General features: G+C 39.6%; 1 protein-coding gene and 1 long non-coding RNA gene across 19 annotated transcripts in view; both read left to right on the top strand.

The window, feature by feature from the left end:
* TRIM5 (tripartite motif containing 5) overlaps positions 1–22,909 on the top strand; it is a 96,440-nt gene that overhangs the window by 17,700 nt on the left and 55,831 nt on the right. For 2 of the 18 annotated variants that reach the window (XR_007062519.1, XR_001748014.3), the window contains 3 exons: positions 1,294–1,394; positions 1,693–1,719; positions 21,512–21,690. Coding sequence is in view for 11 of the 18 variants with exons in the window: in XM_005253183.4 (XP_005253240.1) it covers positions 1,294–1,394; positions 1,693–1,719; positions 1,980–2,566 (715 nt within the window). In the remaining 7 variants the exon portion in view is untranslated. Of the gene's footprint in view, positions 1–1,293; positions 1,395–1,692; positions 4,181–21,511; positions 22,815–22,909 lie in introns of those variants that run through there. The other 16 variants (XM_005253183.4, NM_033034.3, NM_033093.4 and 13 more) reach the window with 13 other exon arrangements.
* LOC107984302 (uncharacterized) lies at positions 6,543–11,880 on the top strand. The gene is made up of 2 exons (XR_001748100.1): positions 6,543–8,165; positions 11,686–11,880. It is a non-coding gene; the product is annotated as an uncharacterized LOC107984302 (long non-coding RNA).

Genomic DNA, 22,909 nt, shown 5'->3' with positions numbered 1-22,909 from the left:
ATTAGGGGGGCGTGGTGGCCCGTGCCTGTAATCCCAGCTATTCGGGAGGCTGAGGCAGGAGAATTGCTTGAATCCAGGAGGCAGAGGTTGCAGTGAGCCAAGACCATGCCACTGCACTCCAGTCTGGGCGACAAAGTGAGACTCTGTCTTAGAAAAATCAATAAAATTAAATAAAATTAAAAAAAAGAAAAGGAATAGACCAGATTCTATGGTAGAAAATTTGGGTGGTGGAGACTCGGAGTGTGGGTCAGTAGTGGTTTCAGGGAGAAGGTGTTGCAGTGTTGGACCCCTGCGCCATCACCATTTTATTACCTACATCTAGTTCTCTTTCTGTATTTAATAGGTTCTTGATTTATTTTGGATGGGCCATATCTTCTTTTTCTCTTATATACCCCTAATTGTCCATTGGGACAATTCCCACATGTTTATATTTTCCTCCTGGAAAAAGACCAGTTCCTCTTCATTTATATTTAGATTTCCAAAATCAGATGTTTATTTCCGGAATAATATTTCAAAATAATATTCTGGATAATATGTGGTCATGGTACAAAGAATTGATCCACCTCAGTTGCATTCTTTACAAGAGCATAAAAAGGTGCTATTCTTGTGTCTAAAATCGCACACCTCGCACACCTACGTGGTGGTATCAAGTTCTTTCTAACCACACGATATTCAGGCCAGTAATAGTTTAGTGCACATAATTTCTCATTTGCCAAGTGTTTGTAATTTTTCCCGGAAATCTGAAACCTTAGATGTTATCTGAGTACCTCCCTGCTGGGAATAGCTTTGAAGGTCTTAGGCCTCTCCAAACAGGATTCCTCTCTTGATATGTGTCAAACACCCAGGAGCCAGGTTCTGCAACCTCACTTTCTAACCATCTCCCTGGGAACTCAACATACATAGCGATGATGTTTCCACCCATTAAATGTTAGGGTTTCTTTTGTAAGGCACCAAAGTTTTGTTTTGTTTTGTTTTAAAATCCTTTTTTTTTTTTTTATGTCCTATGAGTTTAAGAATGTAGACAGGGAGAGGTTAATTATTTCATTTTAGAAGGAAGAAACTGTGCTTCTGAGAGGTTAAGATCTTCCCACGTTCTCACAGAAAGTAAGTGGGAAGGCAAACATGAGAACATTTTGTTTGCCTCCAGGGTCAAGAGTTTGCACTCTCCCTTCTCAGGATCCCCAAGAAGAGAGTTCAAGTGCCTCAATGGGTTGAAATGATAGGAAGTCAGGGGTGTTCCACGGACACAAGGTCAAAGGTTTGGAAGTTTTTTTTTTTTTTTTTAATTCTTAGGACGGAGAACGTGACCTTGAAGAAGCCAGAAACTTTTCCAAAAAATCAAAGGAGAGTGTTTCGAGCTCCTGATCTGAAAGGAATGCTAGAAGTGTTTAGAGGTGAGGAGAGCTAGATCAACAACAGGGTTATGGAATTCAAGTGGTGTTAGGGTGCTAAATAGGGAAGAGGGTGCAGTTTCCAAATATGGATAGAGGGGATAGGGGAGGATAGATATTGTCTGCTGCTGATGGGATTATATTTAATGGGAAATGGCTAGGTGGCTGTTTCATCTCATCATTCAGCAATTTACTGCCCTACCATAGGGCATACCTACTCTTTCCCTAATCTGGAGAGAAAATGAATTTCAGTGCTGACTCCTTTGTTTGTATTCAATATTGTGCATTTTTATCATTTCAGAGCTGACAGATGTCCGACGCTACTGGGGTAAGGAGAAGTCACATTATCATAAGCCACCCTGCGGCTTATCATTATTATTATCTTTATCTTTTAGAATTTTATGTTCTCTATTAGGCTCATGTTTTAAGATTTATGATTCTCCTTCCAAGACACACATAACTTACCCCTCCTTATAACTTCTAAACAAGGTTCCTCCCAGTTTTCTCTCAAGTCTTTATCAAGATTTCTCTCATATCACAAATAAAGTTACATTATATCCCTTAGCTGACCTGTTAATTTTTCTACAGTTGATGTGACAGTGGCTCCAAACAACATTTCATGTGCTGTCATTTCTGAAGATAAGAGACAAGTGAGCTCTCCGAAACCACAGATAATATATGGGGCACGAGGGACAAGATACCAGACATTTGTGAATTTCAATTATTGTACTGGCATCCTGGGCTCTCAAAGTATCACATCAGGGAAACATTACTGGGAGGTAGACGTGTCCAAGAAAACTGCTTGGATCCTGGGGGTATGTGCTGGCTTCCAACCTGATGCAATGTGTAATATTGAAAAAAATGAAAATTATCAACCTAAATACGGCTACTGGGTTATAGGGTTAGAGGAAGGAGTTAAATGTAGTGCTTTCCAGGATAGTTCCTTCCATACTCCTTCTGTTCCTTTCATTGTGCCCCTCTCTGTGATTATTTGTCCTGATCGTGTTGGAGTTTTCCTAGACTATGAGGCTTGCACTGTCTCATTCTTCAATATCACAAACCATGGATTTCTCATCTATAAGTTTTCTCACTGTTCTTTTTCTCAGCCTGTATTTCCATATTTAAATCCTAGAAAATGTGGAGTCCCCATGACTCTGTGCTCACCAAGCTCTTGAACCTTCTTACACACTCAGCCCCTTCTGTACAGCACCTCTTGTCCAGGTGCATCTCATACACCTGAACTCATTTGCATCATTTTAACCATCTTTTCCTTGCTGTCTCCCTTCTTTCTATTTGAACGTCCTTCACTCATCAGTAAAATGTAATAATTGCCTTGTGCCATATTGTCCCCAATATTTTATTGACATTTGATAGCAATTTTTTTCATCATTTTCCGTACTCCTAAGGAAAACTGACCTATACCTCATAAAATGAGACCGCTATTTAGGTATTACTTCTGCCAGATATTTATCACCCAATTGCCTCTGACACTGACTAAGAAGATGAAGAAAAGCTTTTCAACAGCCTTTCTATATCATCGTGTGATAATTGTTCACCAATGAATGAGTCCTTAGCCCTGTGTCAGTTTACCCTCGATGCCCTTATTTGTGAGTTAAAGAGAAAATATCATAAATGGTATACTCTTAAGTATAGAGGTTTTGTATCTAGAGGATCTCAGTTCAACTCCTGTCTCTCCATATACCAGCAGTGTAACTGTGAATAACATACTTAAATGGCTGTGCTTATTTCCTTTTCTTTTCTTTTTTCTTTTTTTTTTTTTTTGAGATGAAGTTTTGCTCTTGTTCCCCAGGCTGGAGTGCAATGGCACGATCTCGGTTCACTGCAACCTCCACCTCTCAGATTCAAGCAATTCTCCTGCCTCAGCCTCCCAAGTAGCTGGGATTACAGGTGCCCACCACCACCCCTGGCTAAATTTGTATTTTCAGTAGAGACGGGGTTTCCCCATGTTGGTTAGGCTCGTCTAGAACCTCTGACCTCAGGTGATCCACCCGCCTCGGCCTCCCAAAGTGCTGGGATTACAGGCGTGAGCCACGGCGCCCAGCCTGTGCTTATTTTCTTAAAATAATTTTTGTATTAAAAACTTCACATTAAATAAGTGCTAATGTTTTATTGCATAGTAGGGTGACTAGAGTTAACAATAACCTATTGCATATATTTTGAAATAGCTAGAAGAGAGGATTTTGAAAGTTCTCAACACAAAGAAATGACACATATTTGAGGTGATGGATATGCTAATTACCCTGGTTCGGTTATTACGCAATGTATACATGTATCAAAACATCACACTGTACCACATAAATATGTATATTTATTATTTGTCAATTAAAAGCAAAATAAAACAAAAAACCTTCATCTAATACTTTGGATCATTGTGAAAAAATAAATTCCTGAAGTATAAAGCATCTATCTAAGTGTCTTGATCTAATAAGTACTTGTTCTACAAATTATTGAAAAACATAAACTCTGTTAATGTCTCATGGAACAGGTTGTGCCTTCAGGGAAACTAGGATTGGATTTACTAAATTCTCATTTTTTAGATCTCAGATACTACTGTCAAAATGACTTCAATTCTGCCTTCTATATATAATACACACATATATTTAGGATTTTATTGTAATTCTAGTGTTGCTACATATTAGTCTTTATCAAACAAACTGAATTATGTGGGAATCAGTTTATTAATTGTAAAAAATAATTATAATAAAATTAGCTGATGTAGTTTTTTAAAAGTTAAACGAGTTTTTTGAATAGCTTCACTCATTTCTAGCATGTAAGGGGTAATCCATTATGGTGTTGGGCTTTTTTGTTTGTTTGTTTGTTTGTTTGTTTGTTTGTTTTGAGACAGGGTTTGTCTCTGTCACCCAAGCTGGAGTGCAATGGCACGATCTCGGCTCACTGCAACCTCCATCTCCAGGGTTCATCCTTCCACCTCAGCCTCCTGAGTAGCTGGGACTACAGTCACGCACCACCACGCCCTGGTTATTTTTTGTATTTTTGGTAGAGACAGGGTTTCACTATGTTGCCCAGGCGGATCCCGAAGCCCTGGGCTCAGGCGATCTGCCCACTTTACCTCCCAAAGTGCTAGGATTATAGGTGTGAGCCACCATGCCCGGCCTCATTATGGTGTCTATTAATTTTTGGTTCCCTCTCACTGTGACTGAAAGCAATAATTTTTAACAATATGTAATAGTTCTTTTCAAAATTATCTTTCTCCCTTCGTTTGAAGAAATACAAGAACTAAGTTAAAAATCACAGATTTTTCTTGTAGAAAGTTTTAAAATAAGTGTTTATAAATGGGAAAAAAAATCTTTGTTCTTAATTTCATAGCTGCCTAGTCTTAAGTTGTTTTAAGTATTTCTGAGTACTCTAATTTCATTGTAAATTTTTCCTGTTTGCCAAGTAGTAAAAACGTATTTTGCACAGTGATGCAGATAAAGTCAGAAGTACATGTGGCATTTCTCAACAATGGTATCGATAAGTGAATTGTGAGCCCAGGTTAGCCTGACTCTTCATTAAAGTAACAAAGGCATGGTAATTTTCATAAATGACAAAAAAATACTTGTTCTCCTTGTTCAGTGAGGAGAATTATTTTTGCAACGGATGTTTATGAAGGGCATGGTAGGATCCCTATGTCTATTGGCATTTTTATTTCCAACTCTTTCCCAAGTTTTGAGCTGAAGTTTTTTGTTTTGTTTTAATGGTCTACCTCATCAAATAGTCTCTGCTCTTCACCCTGCTTCCCCACAGAAATTTTAAGGTCTCTATCTTTGTGGTAACTTTAGTCAGAGAAGGGATTCCAAGGTGAATATTTTCAGTAACTATGTGTGTGCACACACCTCTCTACCTCAGCACCATCCAGGGAAACCGAGGAGGTTGATGCTATAAATTTTCCCTTTTACCTCTGCTTTCCTGTCACCCAATGCTATGAAGATTGAGGCTTTCACTCACTGGGAACAGTCTGGACTAGCTTGAATTATTGGCAAGTGACTCTCCAGGGACATTAATGCCTTTTCATTTCCTGGAAAGCCAAGTCCCACAGCTCAGGATGAAGTACCCAGTTACACAACAATAAAGACCTGAATTTGTATATACAACAGAAAAGATCTGCACACTGAAGGATTTTTTCAAACAGATGCTCCTGGCCCTAGTAATGAACCTCTCAGCTGAAAAGAATATGAAGCTTATGAATTGCTCTGAGTTACACTCCGTCTTCTCAGTAAAAGGCTGAAGAAGGCAACCTGTGCTCCAAAAGGCTAATGGACGTCAACTGTGGATTTTCTCTCTGCCTGTGTATCAGTTCTAGGATGTTCCCTCCCCATCACTTCTGAACCTCTGAGTAACAATTATGTCGTCTTCTATTCTGAGACTTCAGATCTATGCTGGGCCATTAATTAGGCATATCTGGCTAGAATTTTGGTACAATCTGGGGAGAAGCACAGAGAAAAGAGGTTGTGAAAAAAAACAGGGATTGCTTGAAGACTGTTCTGCAGGACACTGAGTAAAGAATGGGAGCAGGCCTCAAGCAGAAACCAGTGGGAGGACAAAGAATACGAAGAAGCAGAATGAGAGTTCGTAGGGGCTAAAGAGAAGGTGCCCTGATGAAGAGCCAATTCTAAGATTCAAAGGGAGAGAAAAGTAAAAGAACGTTTATATGATGTGTTGGAGGGATGGGATGGAATAAGCATCGGGCAGAGGAGAGCTCTTTGGAAAAGAGATCTCTTTGGTTTTTTTCTTTGGACATTGCAACCAATACTCCTTCTTGATGCTATACTTGTCACAAGGTAACAATTATGTTCTGAGCTCCTTGATCCTATTCAGTATCAATAAGATACATAAGTTAAATCTCATAATATGCCTAAACATATATCTAATCTTTTTTTTTTTTTTTTTTTTTTTTTTTTTTTTTTTTTTTTTTTTTTTTGAGACGGAGTCTCTCTCTGTCGCCCAGGCTGGAGTGCAGTGGCGCGATTTCGGCTCACTGCAACCTCCACCTCCTGGGTTCACGCCATTCTCCTGCCTCAGTCTCCCGAGTAGCTGGCACTACAGGCACCTGCCACCATGCCCAGCTAATTTTTGGTATTTTTAGTAGAGTCAGGGTTTCACCGTGTTAGCCAGGATGGTCCCGATCTCCTGACCTCAAGATCCGCCCGCCTCGGCCTCCGAAAGTGCTGGGATTACAGGCGTGAGCCACTGCGCCCGGCCTATCTAAACTTAATAATATCTTTGTATTAACCACCATACTCCAACACCACCATTATTTTCTTTCTGAATTATGTGGCAGTGCAAAACATTACAACCACACTGAAAAAAAAATCCGGCAGTTTGGTAGAGAAAGAAAGCGTAAAATCAATCAATTTAACATATAGTTAAAGATTGTCTAGAGTGAGCAAAACTGAGGTTCTATTTCCATTAATGAAGGTATATATTCTAATAAAACTGCATGCCCTCACCCACAGATCCAACATTAGAAACCTTGGACAAAATGTAAAAATCAAACCTGAAGGCACTAGAAAGTGACAAGCAATCAGAATATTCAGGGTAATAGACACTTAGAAAAAGACAACAGTATTGGGGGAGTTTCCTGTTTCTGTGGCTTTTCACTTGAAGGCAGACCTCAGTTGTTACTGGGTAGAACACTAAAAACTCAGTTAACAATATATGTACTTGCTGCTTTGAAAAACAAGAATGAGCCGGACGCAGTGGCTTACGCTTGTAATCCCAGCACTTTGGGAGGCTGAGGTGGGCAGATCACAAGATCAGGATTTCGAGACCAGCTAGGCCAATATGGTGAAACCCCGTCTCTACTAAAAACACAAAAATTAGCCGGGCATGGTGGTGGGCGCCTGTAGTCCCAGCTACTCAGGAGGCTGAGGCAGGAGAATCGCTTGAACCCAGGAGGCAGAGGTTGCAGTGAGCCGAGATCTCGCCACTGCACGTCAGCCTGGGCGACAGAGCGAGACTCCGTTTCAAAAAAAAAAGAATGATTTGTGCCTGCCATAGCAACTAGAAAATGATGGTAGAGTACCCGTAAAGAAGAGATATAGAGGAATAAATACCAAATTGTATAAACTCTAGTCAAGTCTCTAAAGTACATGTTTGAGACAGATGTGAAGCAGCCCAAAATAGGCTAAAGATTTCAGCTGCTGTATGTAGCAGGGAAAAATTAAGAATTTAATTTCAATCAAATTAACTACCTGAAAAAAAAAAAAGGCTTCAGAGAATTATACAGAATCCAGAACAGGAGCTTACAAAACAATAAAACCTGGGGATGGTAATGTTTCAGTATGTTCTATGGTCTGTACCATCTAGGCACTCAGTCACTACAGTTTTATTCTTAGTGCAGTTTACTACAGCAAGAATATTTGAATTAAAAGAATATGAATTACAGTTATACATTCTACAGCTTTGAATATACAGTGCTTTACCTGAGTACTTAGAATTTCCATGCAATTCTATAATTATTAGTTGAAGTTATCTTATACCTAAGCTCTAAGCATGTAGAATAATGACCCAGAACAACTTGACACCTAGCATCTTGAAATGCAATCTGATGGGGAAGACACTGAGTTATAAAGCTCTGCAAATTTGGGCTGACAAAATGAGTTATTAGTGAAATGAGAAAAGTTCCCTTGTTCCCTTTGCAGGGCATGCGACAGGGGGAATGGCTCGCTTCAGTGCCCTGCTGCTCAAAGCTCTAGGGGAGAATGCAGACGGGCAGGCTGTGGGGCTCTAACCCCACAGCAACCTCTAGGGGTGAGTGTTTACAGCTCCTGTGGGCCCCGCGGACATGTGTTACACTGTACTCTTTTTTTTTATACTTTAAGTTCTAGGGTACATGTGCACAATGTGCAGGTTTGTTACATATGTATACATGTGCCGTGTTGGTTTGGTGCACCCATTAACTCGTCATTTACATTAGGTATTTCTCCTAATACTATCCCTCCCCCAGGCGCCCACCCTACCACAGGCCTCAGTGTGTGATGTTCCCCGCCCTGTGTCCAAGTGTTCTCATTGTTCAATTCCCACCTACAAGTGAGAACATGCGGTGTTTGGTTTTCTGTCCTTGTGATAGTTTGCTGAGAATGATGGTTTCCAGCTTCATCCATGTCCCTGCAAAGGACATGAACTCATCCTTTTTTGTAGCTGCATAGTATTCCATGGTGTATAGTGCCACATTTGACCCAGCGATCCCATTACTGGGTATGTGCCCAAAGGATTATAAATCATGCTGCTATAAAGACACATGCACACACTGTACTCTTTCTAACAAAACTTCATGTCCTCACCCATAGATCAACATTAGAAACCTTGCACAAAATGTGAAAATCAAGTAAACCTGAAGGCACTAGAAAGTGACAAAAGCAGTCAGAATATTCAGGGTAATAGACACTTAGAAAAATATAACAGTATTGGAGGAGTTTCCTCTTTGCTGCCTGCAGGTGGCTTGTGTTTATCTGCTCTGACCCTCTGCCTTATTGCAAGGACAGAGGGCTTTCTGTATCCCAGGTTCTTGCCTTAACGTATCAGAAAAATTGGATCACACGTGGGCTTGGAGAACGAGTGCAAGGTTTTTTATCGAGTGGTAGTAGCTCTCAGCGAGGTGGATGAAGAGGCCAGAAGGAAGATGGAGTAGGAAGGTGGATTTCCCTGGAGTTGGGCCACCCAGCAGCCAGGCTGTCCTCTGACATCCCCGACCAATCTCTGCATCGGTCCATTGGTCGCTGGCCTTCCAGCATGTGCTGGTGCCTGTTGGTGTGTTCTTCTACCAATTTGCTACTCTTAACATTCAGTTGCTTGTGTCTCTTCCTGCTATAGGCACAGGATGGGGGCATAGCAGGCCAGGGTGATCTTGGAAAATGCAACATTTGGGCACAAAAACGGAAATTCCTGTCCTCACCTAAGTCTGTGGGCCCAGGCCCCAGGAGTGGAGGCTTTGTCAGGGACCGTGCCTTTCTCTTTTCAGCACTTCCCTGCACCCCTCTCATATAATTAGCAGCTGTCATTCTGAATGGGAAAAATAAACTTATTTTTCTAAATAAAAGGATTTTGCCAGACATGGTGGCTCAGGCCTGTAATCCCAGCACTTTGGGAGGCCGAGGCTCTCAGATCACTTGAGGTCAGGAGTTAGAGACCAGCCTGGCCAACATGGTGAAACTCTGTCTCTACTAAAACTACAAAAATTTGCCGGGCATGGTGGTGCAGGCCTGTAGTCCCAGCTATTCCAGAATATAATACAATATAATATATATATATATTTATATATATTATATTATAAATATATATATATTATATTATAAATATATATTATATATAATATATAAATAATATATATAATGCATTATATATAATATATAAATATATATTATATATAATGCATTATATATAATATATAAATAATATATATAAATGCATTATATATAATATATAAATAATATATATAATGCATTATATATAATATATAAATATATATATAAATGCATTATATATAAATATTTTATATATATATACACTTTAAGTTCTGGGATACATGTGCAGAACGTGCAGGTTTGTTACACAGGTATACACGTACCATGGTGGTTTGCTGCACCCATTAACCTGTCATCTAAATTAGGTATTTATCCTAATGCGATCCCTTCCCTAGTCCCCCACCCATCGAAGGCCCTGGTGTGTGATGTTCCCCTCCCTGTGTCCATGTGTTCACATTGTTCAACTCCCACTTATAAGTGAGAACATGCAGTGTTTGGTTTTCTGTTCCTGTGTTAGTTTGCTGAGAATGATGGTTTCCAGCTTCATCCATGTCCCTGCAAAGGACATGAACTCATCCTTTTTTGTAGCTGCATAGTATTCCATGATGTATATGTGCCACATTTTCTTTATCCAGTCTATCATTGATAGGCATTTGGGTTGGTTCCAAATCTTTGCTATTGTGAATAGTGCTGCAATAAACATATGTGTGCATGTGTCTTTGTAGTAGAATGATTTACAATCCTTTGAGTATATACCCAGTAATGGGATTACTGTGTCAAATGGTATTTCTGGTTCTAGATACTTGAGGAATCGCCACACTATCTTCCACAATGGTCGAACCAATTTATACTCCCACCTACAGTGTAAAAGTGTTCCTATTTCTCCACATCATCTCCAGCATCTGTTGTTTCCTGACTTTTTAATGATCGCCATTCTAACTGGAGTGAGATGGTATCTCATTGTGGTTTTGATTTGCATTTCTCTAGTAACCAGTGATGATGGGTTTTTTTTCAAATGTTTGTTGGCCGCATAAATGTCTTCTTTTAAGAAGTGTCTGTTCATGGCCTGTCGTAGTGGCTCACGCCTATAATCCCAGTACTTTGGGAGGCCGAGGTGGGCGGATCACCTAAGGTTGGGAGTTCGAGACCAGCCTGACCAACATGGAGAAACTCCATCTCTACTAAAAATACAAAACTAGCCGGGCATGGTGGTGCATGCCTGTAATCCCAGCTACTTGGGAGGCTGAGGCAGGAAGAATTGCTTGAACCTGGGAGGCAGAGGTTGCAGTAAGCCAAGATCACACCACTGCACTCTGGTGTGGGCAACAGAGCAAAACTCTTTCTCAAAAAAAAAAAAAAAAGTGTCTGTTCATATCCTTCGCTCACTTTTTGATGGGGTTGTTTTTTTCTTGTAAATTTGTTTAAGTTTTTTGTAGATTCTGGATTTTAGCCCTTTGTCAGGTAGATAGATTGCAAAAATGTTCTCTCATTCTGTAGGTTGCCTGTTCACTCTGATGATAGTTTCTTTTGCTGTGCAGAAACGCTTTTGTTTAATTAGATCCCATTTGTCAGTTTTGGCTTTTGTTGCCATGGCTTTTGGTGTTTTAGTCATGAAGTCTTTGCCCATGCCTATGTCCTGAATGGTATTGCCTAGGTTTTCTTCTAGGATTTGTATGGTTTTAGGTCTTATGTTTAAGTCTTTAATCCATCTTGAGTTAATTTTTCTATAAGGTGTAAGGAAGGGGTCCAGTTTCAGTTTTCTGCATATGGCTAGCCAGTTTTCCCAACACCATTTATTAAATAGAGAATCCTTTCCCCATTGCTTTTGTCAGGTTTGTCAAAGATCAGATGGTTGTAGATGTGTGGCATTATTTCTGAGGCCTCTGCTCTGTAGATTTATAGACCAATGGAAGTTTGCTCATTTTTACACAATTAATTAAAATGTAGCACTGAATGATTTTATATGTCCTGCACATACTTTTGTGCCCGGTTATCTATCTTATTCTTTTTTTGACTGCATATGCCAGATGACGTCACTAAAAACCGATGAAGCCTCCATAACATTGGTTCCTTACTGACGCTGAGGAGCATGGCAATCTTCACACCTTAACCAATGCTATTCATGTAGGATGACCAAGAAATGAATGTTTCTTACTGAAATAATACATATTTTGGCATCTTTTGTTACCCATAGACTAATAAACTAATCCTGGCTTATAAAATCCTTTTTACCTACTTATTTCTATTTGGAGGAACTCAAAATCATATTGGTATAATGATCCACATAACAATTTCAGTTTCTTGGTTGAGTGAAGTTTGCTCTAACAAACAATAAATTCATCATGTTTCTCAAATTAAATGATAATTATTTAAATTGTAGATAAATATTATTCTGGGAGGCAGGAAGTCTTTTTCTTTATTTATCACATACTACTATCATTGAATATTGTTCCCACCCAGCTCTACAACCAATGGTAAGTTTCCTAAAGGCAAGAAAAGGCCATTTCCTTTTTTTTTTTTTTTTAGACGGAGTTTCGCTCTTGTTGCCCAAGCTGGAGTGCAATGGCGTGATCTCTGCTCACTGCAACCTCCACCTCCCAGGTTCAAGCCATTCTCCTGCCTCAGCCTCCCGAAGTAGCTGGATTACAGGTGCCCGCCACCACGCCCAGATAATTTTTTTGTATTTTTAGTTGAGACCAGGTTTCACCATGTTAGCCAGGCTGATCTTGAACTCCTGACCTCAGGTGATCCACCCGCCTCAGCCTTCCAAAGTGCTGGGATTACAGGCAGGAGCTACCGTGCCCGGCCAGAAAAATGCCATTTCTTATATTGCAGTCAACATAAATGCTGTGGTACATAATGAAATTCTGCTATTTTTGTGGTGTTATTAACATTTAGGTAATCCTTTTTGACAAATTTTAACCTACAATTTTTCACATCTCCATTTTATTCCTGTAGTTTATCTGGATACTTACCTCAATGCATGTGGTTAATCTATCCACAACACAACACTCTAAGCACATTTTTCCTGTGCCGCATAGTGTTTGAAACTAGAAATAGTCAAAAGTGATTGGTACAAACCCACACTCACCCACATCTGCCACCACCAGCTCCCATGTATGCTGCCCAGGTGTTCGAAGACTAGCATGCCTGGCCCCTGGCACCACCACTGGTACTCACACGTGCTCCCCAGGGTCACAAGGAACATCCTGCCTGACATCCCCAGCAAAGCCTTACCATAGCCTCCACTAACAACCACAGCCTAAGCAATTGAGAAATTTGCAGACTGTACTGATGTTGAATACAGCCAAATAAATTACATGAACACTATACCACTGTGCCTACCCAGTCAAAGCCTCAGTACCCTACTCAATCAAAACTGTAGAGTTATCTGAAGCAAAAAGTATTTTTCTATGAAAATCTGTAAAACTGGAAGAAATGACTATTAACCAGATGTGTAGATATCAATGTAAGAACAAAAGAAACAAAAAAAGCAAGAAAACATGATACCTCCAAAGGAACACAATTCTTCAATAAAAGGTTTCAAGGAAAAAATATCTATGAAATGCCTGAAAAATTATTCAAAATCATGATTTTATGGAAACTCAGTGAGATGCAAGACAATACAGGTAGGCAATAAAAAGAAATCAGGAAAACAATTCATGATCTGAATGAGAAATTCAACAAAGAGACAGACACCATAAAAAGAGCCAAACAGAAATGTTAGAAGTGAAGAACTCAAGGAATGAAATAAAAAAATATACACTCTAGAGCATTAACAATAGACTAAATCAAGCAGAAGAAATAATTTCTGAATTGACACAGGTCTTTTAAAGTAATTTACTCAGATAACAAAAACAAAAAACAATACTAAAAATAAAGAAAGACTACAGGACATATGGAACTGTATTAAATAAAACAGTTTTAGCCGGGCGTGGTGGCTCACACCTGTAATCCTCACACTTTGGGAGGCCGAGGCAGGTGGATCACGATGTCAGGAGTTCGAGACCAGCCTGACCAACACGGTAAAAACCCTGTCTCTACCAAAAATACAAAAATTAGTCGGGCATGGTGGTGCGCACTTCTAATCCCAGCCACTCAGGAGGCTGAGGCAGGAGAATCGCTTGAACCCGGGAGGCAGATGTTGCAGTGAGTCGAGATCACTCCACTGCACTCCAGCCTGGGTGATAGAGCAAGACTCCATCTCAAAAAAAAAAAAACAAAAAAAACAAAAAAAAATCGGAAAAAACAGTTTGCCATTTTGGAAATTCCAGAAGGAGGATAGATGAGAGAAAGCAAGGAAAATCTATTTAATGAAATAATTGATGAAAAATTCCCAAGTCTTGCAACAGATATAGATATCCAGATATAGGAAGCCCAAGGACTAACACATATGTTCAACCCAAAAAGTCTTCTTCAAGGCACATTAGATTCAAACTATCAGGAATGCAATCCCATTCACAACAGCCACAAAAAGAAGAAAATACCTAGGAATACAGTTACGCAGGGAGATGAAGGATATCTACAATGAGAATTTGAAAACACTGCTCAAGGAAATCAGAGATGGCCGGGTACAGTGGCTCATGCCTGTAATCCCAGCACTTTGGGAGGCCGAGGCGGGCAGATCACAAGGTCAGGAGATCGAGACCATCCTGGCTAATATGGTGAAATCTCGTCTCTACCAAAAATACAAAAAATTAGCCGGGTATGCTGGTGGGCACCTGTAGTCCCAGCTACTTGAGAGGCTGAGGCAGGAGAATGGCATGAACCCAGGAGGCTGGAGCTTGCAGTGAGCTGAGATCACGCCACTGCACTCCAGCCTAGGCAACAGAGCGAGACTCTGCCTCAAAAAAAAAAAAAAAAAGAAAAAGAAAAAGAAATCAGAGATTAACACAAACAAATGGAAAAACATTCTATGCTCATGGATTGGAAGAATCAATATTGGTAAAATGGCCATACTACCCAAAGCACTTTACAAATTCAGTGCTATTCCTATCAAACTACCAAGGACATTCTTCACAGGACTAGAAAAAAACTATTCTAAAATTCATATGAAATAAAAAAAGGAACCCAAATAGCCAAGGAATTAGAATGCAAAAAGAACAAAGCTGGAGGCATCAATTACCTGACTTCAAACCATACTACAAAGCTACAGTAACCAAAACAGTATGGTACTGGTTTAAAAGCAGACATATAGACTGATGGAATAGAACACAGAGCCCGGAAATAATGCTACAAGCCTGCAACCATCTGATCTTAAACCAAGTTGACAAAAGCAAGAAATGGAAAAAGGACCCCTTATTCAATGAATGGGCTGAGATACCTCGCTTGCCATATGCAGAAGATTGAAACTGGACCCCTTCCTTATATCATATACAAAAGTCAACTCAAGATGGATTAAAGAATTAAATATAAAACCTAAAACTTATAAAAACCCTAGAAGATTACCTAGGTAATACCATTCTGGACACAGGCCCTGGCAAAGATGTCATGACAAAGACTCCAAAAGTAATTGCAACAAAAACAAATGTTGACGAATGGGATCTAATTAAACTAAAGAGCCTCTGCACAGCAAAAAAAACCAAAACCAAAAACAAAAACAAAAAACGGAGAAAATACACAACCTACAAAATGGGAGAAAATATTTGTAAATGATCCACCTGACAAACGGTTAATATATAGGTTCTATAAGTAACTTCAATAAATTTACAAGCAGAAAACAAACAACCCCATTAAAATATGGGCACAGAACATGAACAGACACTTCTCAAAAGAAGACATACACGTGGCCAACAAGCATGTGAAAAAATGCTCAACATCACTAGTCATTAGAGAAATGAATATCAAAACCACAATGAGATACCATCTCCCACCAGTCTAAATGGCTATTATTAAAAAGTAAAAAAAATAATAGATGCTGGTGAGGTTGCAGAGAAAAGAGAATGCTTACACACTACTGGTGGGCATGTAAATTAGTTTAGCCACTGTGGAAAGCAGTTTGGCAATTTCTCAAAGTACTCAAAGCAGAATTACCATTAGACCCAGCAATCCCATTACTGGGTATATACACAAAGGAATATAAATCATTCTACCATAAAGACACATGCACCTGTACATTCATCACAGCACCATTCACAATAACAAATACATGGAAACAACCTAAATGGCCATCAATGATAGACTAGATAAAGGAAATGTGGTACCTATACACCATGGAATGCTAGATGTTCTTACTTATAAGTGGAAGCAAAACATTGAGTAGATATAGATACAAAGAAGGGAACAACAGACATCGGAGCCTACTTGAGGGTGGAGGTTTAGAGGAGGGTAAGAATTGAAAAACTACCTACTGGGTACTATGCTTATTACCCAGGTGATGAAACAATCTGTACACCAAATCCCAAAGCACACAGTTTACTTATATAAGAAATCTGCACATGTACCCCTGAACCTAAATTAATTAAAAAACTGCAGGGATCTTCTCAGTGAAATTTCCAGGGATCTGGTGGTGTGAGGTGTATGGAAATATCCCTTTTAAAGTGAAAAGGAAATTGTTGCATCTGGCCATGCCTACAACCAAAAGAGAGGCACAGGACCTAGTGACCCTCTTTGGATTTTGGAGGCAACATGTTCCTCATTTTGAGGTGTCACTCCAGTCCATTTACTAAGTTACTTGAAAAGAGTAAGATTTGAGTGGAAGCTGGAATAAGATAATGCTCTGCAGTTGATACAGGCGTTGCTAAATCTGCCCTGCCACTGGGACCATATGATCAAGCCAATACAATGGTGCTTGAAATGTCTGTGGCAGATAAGGAAGATTTTGGAGTATTTGGCAGGACCCTGTAGGTGCTATCTTCTGTAGATACCTACTATCTTTTTCAAGAAACAGCTTTTGGCTTTCTATTGAGCCTTGGTGGAGACTGAACACTGAACTATGGACCACGAAGTTACTATGTGACCCTACCTGGCCATCATGAACTAGGTATTAGCTGATCCATCAAACAACAAATTTGGATGTGCACAGTAGCGCTCCAACAAAAAACGGAAGTGTTATCTACATGAGTGGCCATAAGCAGGCCCTAAAACAAAATACAAGTCACACAAAGAAGTGGCTCACATGTGCATGGTCTTCACTTCTGCTGCACTATCTACTCTCACCCAGCCTGCAGGTATGTCCTCATGGAAAATTATCTACAATCAGTTGATGAAGAAAGAAAAAACTCAGATCCAGTTTACAGATGGTTCTGTACGATATGAAGGTATCACCTGGAGGAGACATCTATAGCACTAAAGCTTTTTTCTGGGATATCCCTGAAGTACCCCTTGAAGGAAAGCCCTCCCAATAGGCAGAACTTTAAAAAGTAGTGCAACCAATTGTTCATATTGCTTAGAAAGAGAAATAGCCAGACGTATGTTATATACTGAATCACGGGCAATGGCCAATGGTTTGAATAGATGGTGAAGGAATTGGAAAGCTACCTTAGTTGCACATTGACTACATACTGCATTCATCATGGAAAAGTCAGCATTTTCTCCTCACTGGAATAGACATTTACTCTGGATACAGATTTGCTTTACATACACACAACGTTTCTCCAAGAACTACCATCCTCAGACTTACAGAATGCCTCATTTACCACCATGGTATTCCACACAGCATTGATTCCAATCAAGGAACTCACTTCATAGGAAATAAAGTGTAGCAAAGGGCCCATGTTTATGGAATTTACTGAACTTGCTATGTTCCCCATCATCCTGAGCAGCTGTCTTGATAGAAAAGTGGCCCTTACAAGACAAACTAAAAGCACCAGTTAAGTGGCAGTATCTTCCCGGATTGGGGCAAAGTTCTTTAGGAGGGCATATATCCTCTAAATCAGTGTCCAACATATGGTGTTATTTTTCCCATGACTAGGATTCATGGGACTATAAATCAAGGGGTGGATAGGGGAGAGATACCACTCACTACTATTCCTAGTGCTCCACTAGCAAATTTTGCCTTCTACTTCTGCAACATTACGCTCTGCTGCCTTAGCGATCTTAGTTCCAAAAGGAAGAATGCTTTCACCAGTAGACATGACAATGATTTCATTGAACTAGAAGTTAAGACAGCCACCCAGCCACTTTGGGTGCTCATGCCTCTGAACCAACAGGCAAAGACAGGAATTACTGTGCTTGCTAGGATGATTAATCCTGACTATCAAGGACACTTAGAACAACTACTCCACAATGTAGGTTAAGAAAATGTATGTCTGGAGATCCCTTAGGGTATCTCTTAATATTATTGTGCCCTGTGATTAAAGTCAATAAAAAAAGACAACAACTCAGCTCAGGCAAGACGAGGAATGGCCAAGCCCCTTCAGAAATGAAAGTTTGGGTCACTCCATCAGGTAGAAATCGCTATCACTCGAGGTGCTTGCTGAGAGGAAAGAGAATATGGAATGGTTAGTGGAAGAAGGGGTACTATGAATAGATATTGGTAACATTTTATAGATAATCTGGTATAAGAAAACAGTGTGGTTGGTGTTACATAATAGACATCCTGAATTGCTGGTCCTCATGGCTCCTTCACTACTGAATATATTAAACTGCATTTAAGTGAAAACTGAGTAAAAATAGAGAGTTGGAAATCAAGTACAGATATGTGTATGTTGATCTTAAGGAAATGAATGAGGTCAGTTACAGTTTATATCTAAAATGAAGAGAGGGGCTTGAGAAGCAAACACCTATACTGGTTTAGTACACTTGTTTGCTTATACTCTCAGCAAAGCCATGTAAACTTCTTGAGGACAACTTTTTATTTATTTTTGATTCTTTGAATCCTGGCATAATATCTGACAAATAATTTTGCAAATTGGTTGAATAAATCAAAGAAACACTAATTATTTAACGTTTTAAAACATTTCATGGGGAGTCATACATGTTTGGAGAAAAATAATTGTAGGTCTCTTCTTTTCCTTATAAACACGTCCCATCTGCAGATACCAAAAGCCTCTTCCACAAGGGTGAAAACTGTTTCTACTTTTTAGAGAACTTGACAGCCTCACATGACTCTACTGGAATGATTGCTCTGGGTCTTATGCTTATTTTTTTTGTCTTTCACACTGGCCCTATCTCCATTCTCAGCACCTCAGGGACTGGGGGAAATGTGATGAAGCCTCGTGTGTGAGGAGAAGCTGTTATTTATTTTATTTTATTTATTTATTTATTTTTTGAGATGGAGTCTCCCTCTGTCGCCCAGGCTGGAGTGCAGTGGCGCGATCTCGGCTCACTGCAACCTCCACCTCCCAGGTTCACGCCATTCTCCCGCCTCAGCCAACTGAGTAGCTGGGATTACAGGCACCCGCCACCACGCCCGGCTAATTTTTTGTATTTTTAGTAGAGATGGGGTTTCTCCGTGTTAGCCAGGATGGTCTCGATCTCCTGACCTCGTGATCCACCTGCCTTGGCCTCCCAAAGTGCTGGGATTACAGGTGTAAGCCACCGCGCCCGGCCCCGAAGCTGTTATTTCTTAATTTATGTTTTCTTTCTTCTTCCTAGAATGTGGATGGCATCATAAAGTGATATATGTGGGAGAACAGAGATTGTCCTTTTGTGTTGTGAGAAAAGATGTGTAGCCATTAGAATTGCCCGGAGTTCAATCAGAATAAAACATCTCCCAGGACAGGAAATTTAGATATAATATTATTGTAAATTTCTGGTCACAATTTAGGGTTTGAGCATTCTAAAACTACCGAGAATAAATCGCATTCTATGGTATAAAATTTGGGTGGTGGAGAGTCACAGAGTGTGTGGATCAATAGTGGTATTAGGGATAAGGTGTTGCAGTATCAGACCCCCGTGACATCACCATTGCATTACCTCCATCTAGCTCTGGTTTTGTATTTAATAGGTGTCTCAGCCGGGCGTGGTGGTTCACGCTTATAATCCCAGCACTTTGGGAGGCCAAGGCAGGTGGATCACGAGGTCAGGAGTTCAAAACCAGCCTGGCCAACGTAGTGAAATCCCCTCTTTACTAAAAATACAAAAATTAGCCAGGCATGGTGGCGTGTGCCTGTAGTCCTAGCTACTCAGGAGGCTGAGGCAGGAGAACTGCTTGAACCCGGGAGGTGGAGGTTGCAGTGAGCCAAGATTGCACCACTGAACTCCAGCTTGGGTAACAGAGTGAGACTTTGTCTCAAAAAAATGATGTCTCATTTGCTATAAGAGAATTATATCTTGTCTGCCAAGCACCCCAAATTTTTCATTCAGACAACTCCTATATATTTATATTTTTCCTGTGGGTATAGAAGAGAACAGATCCTTCCTTGTGATTCTATTTAGATTTAAAAAAAGAGATATGCATTTCTGGAATAGTTTTTTTCCTTGGTGTAAACAATTGATTCATCTCAGTCAGATACTTTAGAAGAGTATGAAAAGGTGACATCTTAGTGTCTAAAACTGTACACCTACTTGACAATATAGAGCTTTTCTAAACACACAAAATTCAGACCACTATTAGTTTGGTATTCATAAAATCCCCTTTGCCAAGTATTGGTAATTTTCCCCAAAAAACATGGAACCTCAGATATTATCTGAGCACTTCTCTAGTGGAAATAGGCTTTGAAGGTCTTAGGCCTCTCCAGACAGGATTCCTCTCCTGATACGTCTCAAACACCCAGGAGCCAGGTCCTGCAACCTCACTGTCTAACCATCTTTCTGGTAACCCACATCCATAGCAATGATGTTTCCACACATTAAATCGTTTTGTTAAGGCACCAAAGTTTTTTTGTTTGTTTTTTTTAAAATCCATTATTTCTTCATGTCCTATGAGCTCAAGAAGGTAGAGAGGGAGAGATTAATTATTTCATTTTGGAAGGAAGAAACTGTGCTTCTGAGAGGTTAAGACCATCCCATGGTCATACAGAGAGTAAGGGAGAAAGTGGACACGAGTACATTTTGTCTGGTTCTAGGGTCAAGGGTCTGCCCTCTCCCTTCTCAGGGAACAGAGTTCAAGTACATCAGTGGGGTGAAATGATAGGAAATCAGTGGTGTCCAAGGGTTACAAAGTCAGAGGTTTGGGAGTCAATTTTTTTTCATTCCTAGGGGTGAGAATTTGACTTAAGCTAAAAACGTTTCCCAAAGAATAAAGGGAAGTGTGTTGAGCTTCTCATCTAAGAGGAATGCTTCAAGCGTGTAAAGATGAGAAGAGCTAGAACAACTAGATCTGCAGTAGTCTAGTGGTGGCAGGTGCTAGACAGGGAAGAGAGCAGTTTCTAGGCGTAGATGGAAGAGATAAGGGAGGATGGACATTGTGTGCTGATGATGTGGTCATATTTGATGGAGAATAACCAAGAGACTGTTTCATGCTATTATTCGCAAATTCATTGCCCTAACATAGTCCCCTCCTCTTTCTCTGTTCTGGAGAAAAAATTGACGTCAGTGCTGCCTCCTTTGCATATAGTCAATATTATGAATTTTTATCATTTCAGAGTGGACAGACATCCAGTGCTACTGTGGTAAAATGATATTTCCAAAAAAGCTGTGCCTCTGGTGGTTGGAATTCTGGGAAGAAACATGAGGGTGGTTGGTGTATTTGGGGATATGTGTGTGTGTACGTGTGTATATGTATATTTATATAATATACATGTATATTAAAATGTATACATTTATATGTATTATACATATATAATCTAATATATTTATGTGTACTATACATATGTATATATGTATTATATATAATTATAAATTACACATATGTTATAAATACATACACATATTAATATACATTTAATATACATGTTTTATATATCTATATATATATCTATATATATCTATATATAGATATATATATATATATTTTTTTTTTTTTTCCAGAAGACTAGATGAGATGAAGAGAGCAGTTGTCACATCTGGGTAAAAGTCTCATCATCAGGGCAAAGAACAGGTGGGAATGTATCCAGAGAATCAACATACAATGAGCAAAAGTGAAGCTTTTCCTAGACTTGACCCTCATCAAATCTCCTCTGTCCCCACTCTCTTCTGAAGAAGGAAAGGTAGGCCTGTCTTTTTTTCTTCCTGATTGTAGAACTGACCCAAAACATTAGACCTTCAAAAGTACTCTCATTCTATGCACTTGAACACATATAATTTTATAATGTTTACATCATTTTATTATTGTGGTTCTACGGAATTTTCTGCTTCTTCCTGATTGTAAGATTGTTAATTTTAACCTATTCATTTTACAGAGATTTAAAACCTAGCATTGAATTGTATGACAATGTTTCATAATTTTTTGGTGATCTATATAACAAACCACTTTTTTCACAGTTTTTTTTTTTTTTTTTTGAGACAGAGTTTTGCTCTTGTTGCCCAGGCTGGAGTGCAGTGGTGCAATCTCAGCTCACTGCAACCTCCGCCTCCCAGGTTCAAGCGATTCTCATGCCTCAGCCTCCCAAGTAGGTGGGATTACAGGGGCTCGCCACCACATCCAGCTAATTTTTGTATTTTTAGTAGAGACAGGGTTTTGCAATTTTGGCCAGGCCAGTCTTGAACTCCTGACCTCACGTGATCCTCTCTTCTCGGCCTCCCAAAGTGCTGGCTGGGATCCCAAAGTGCTGGCTGGGATTACCGGCATGAGCCAAGGCACCCAGCCTATCGTACTTTTTTATTGTTGTACTAACTTAAATTTTTTTTGTCAAATATAATCACTTTTTTATCCTAACATTAGCAGGAACAGGAACATCTCTGGCAAGAGTGGGAACAATACAGAGACAGGAGGAAGTGCCACACTCTTAAATAACCAGATCTCCCAAGAACTCACAGCAAGAATGTATTCATTACCATGGGGATGGTGCGAGGCCCTCCATGAGGCCCCCATGATCCAATCACCTCCCACCAGGCCCCACCTCCAACACTGGGGATTACATTTCAACATGAGATTTGGGCAGGACAAAAATCCCAACTATTTCAAGGATTCTAGTTAATATTGTATTGTCTACTGGGAATTTGCTAAGAAAGATTTTAAATGCACTAACCACCACCCCCCCGACACACGGTAACTATATGATACAGTGGATGTATAATTTACTTGGCTGTAGTAATCACTTTACCATGTAAGTGTGTATCAAAACATCATAGTATATATATCTTAAATATGTACAATAAAAAAGAAAAAAAACAGTCCCACTCTCAGTATAAAAAGTTCTATAAAACAAAACTAAAATTGGAGTGGTCTTAACAGTGGAGTCTGGGAACTTGAAAAATGAGACTTCA

The sequence above is a fragment of the Homo sapiens genome, chromosome 11 (assembly GCF_000001405.40).
Source record: "Homo sapiens chromosome 11, GRCh38.p14 Primary Assembly".
Classification (NCBI taxonomy): domain Eukaryota; kingdom Metazoa; phylum Chordata; class Mammalia; order Primates; family Hominidae; genus Homo; species Homo sapiens.
Note: the sequence above shows the minus strand (reverse complement) of the source record. Positions and strands in the feature narration are given on the sequence as shown.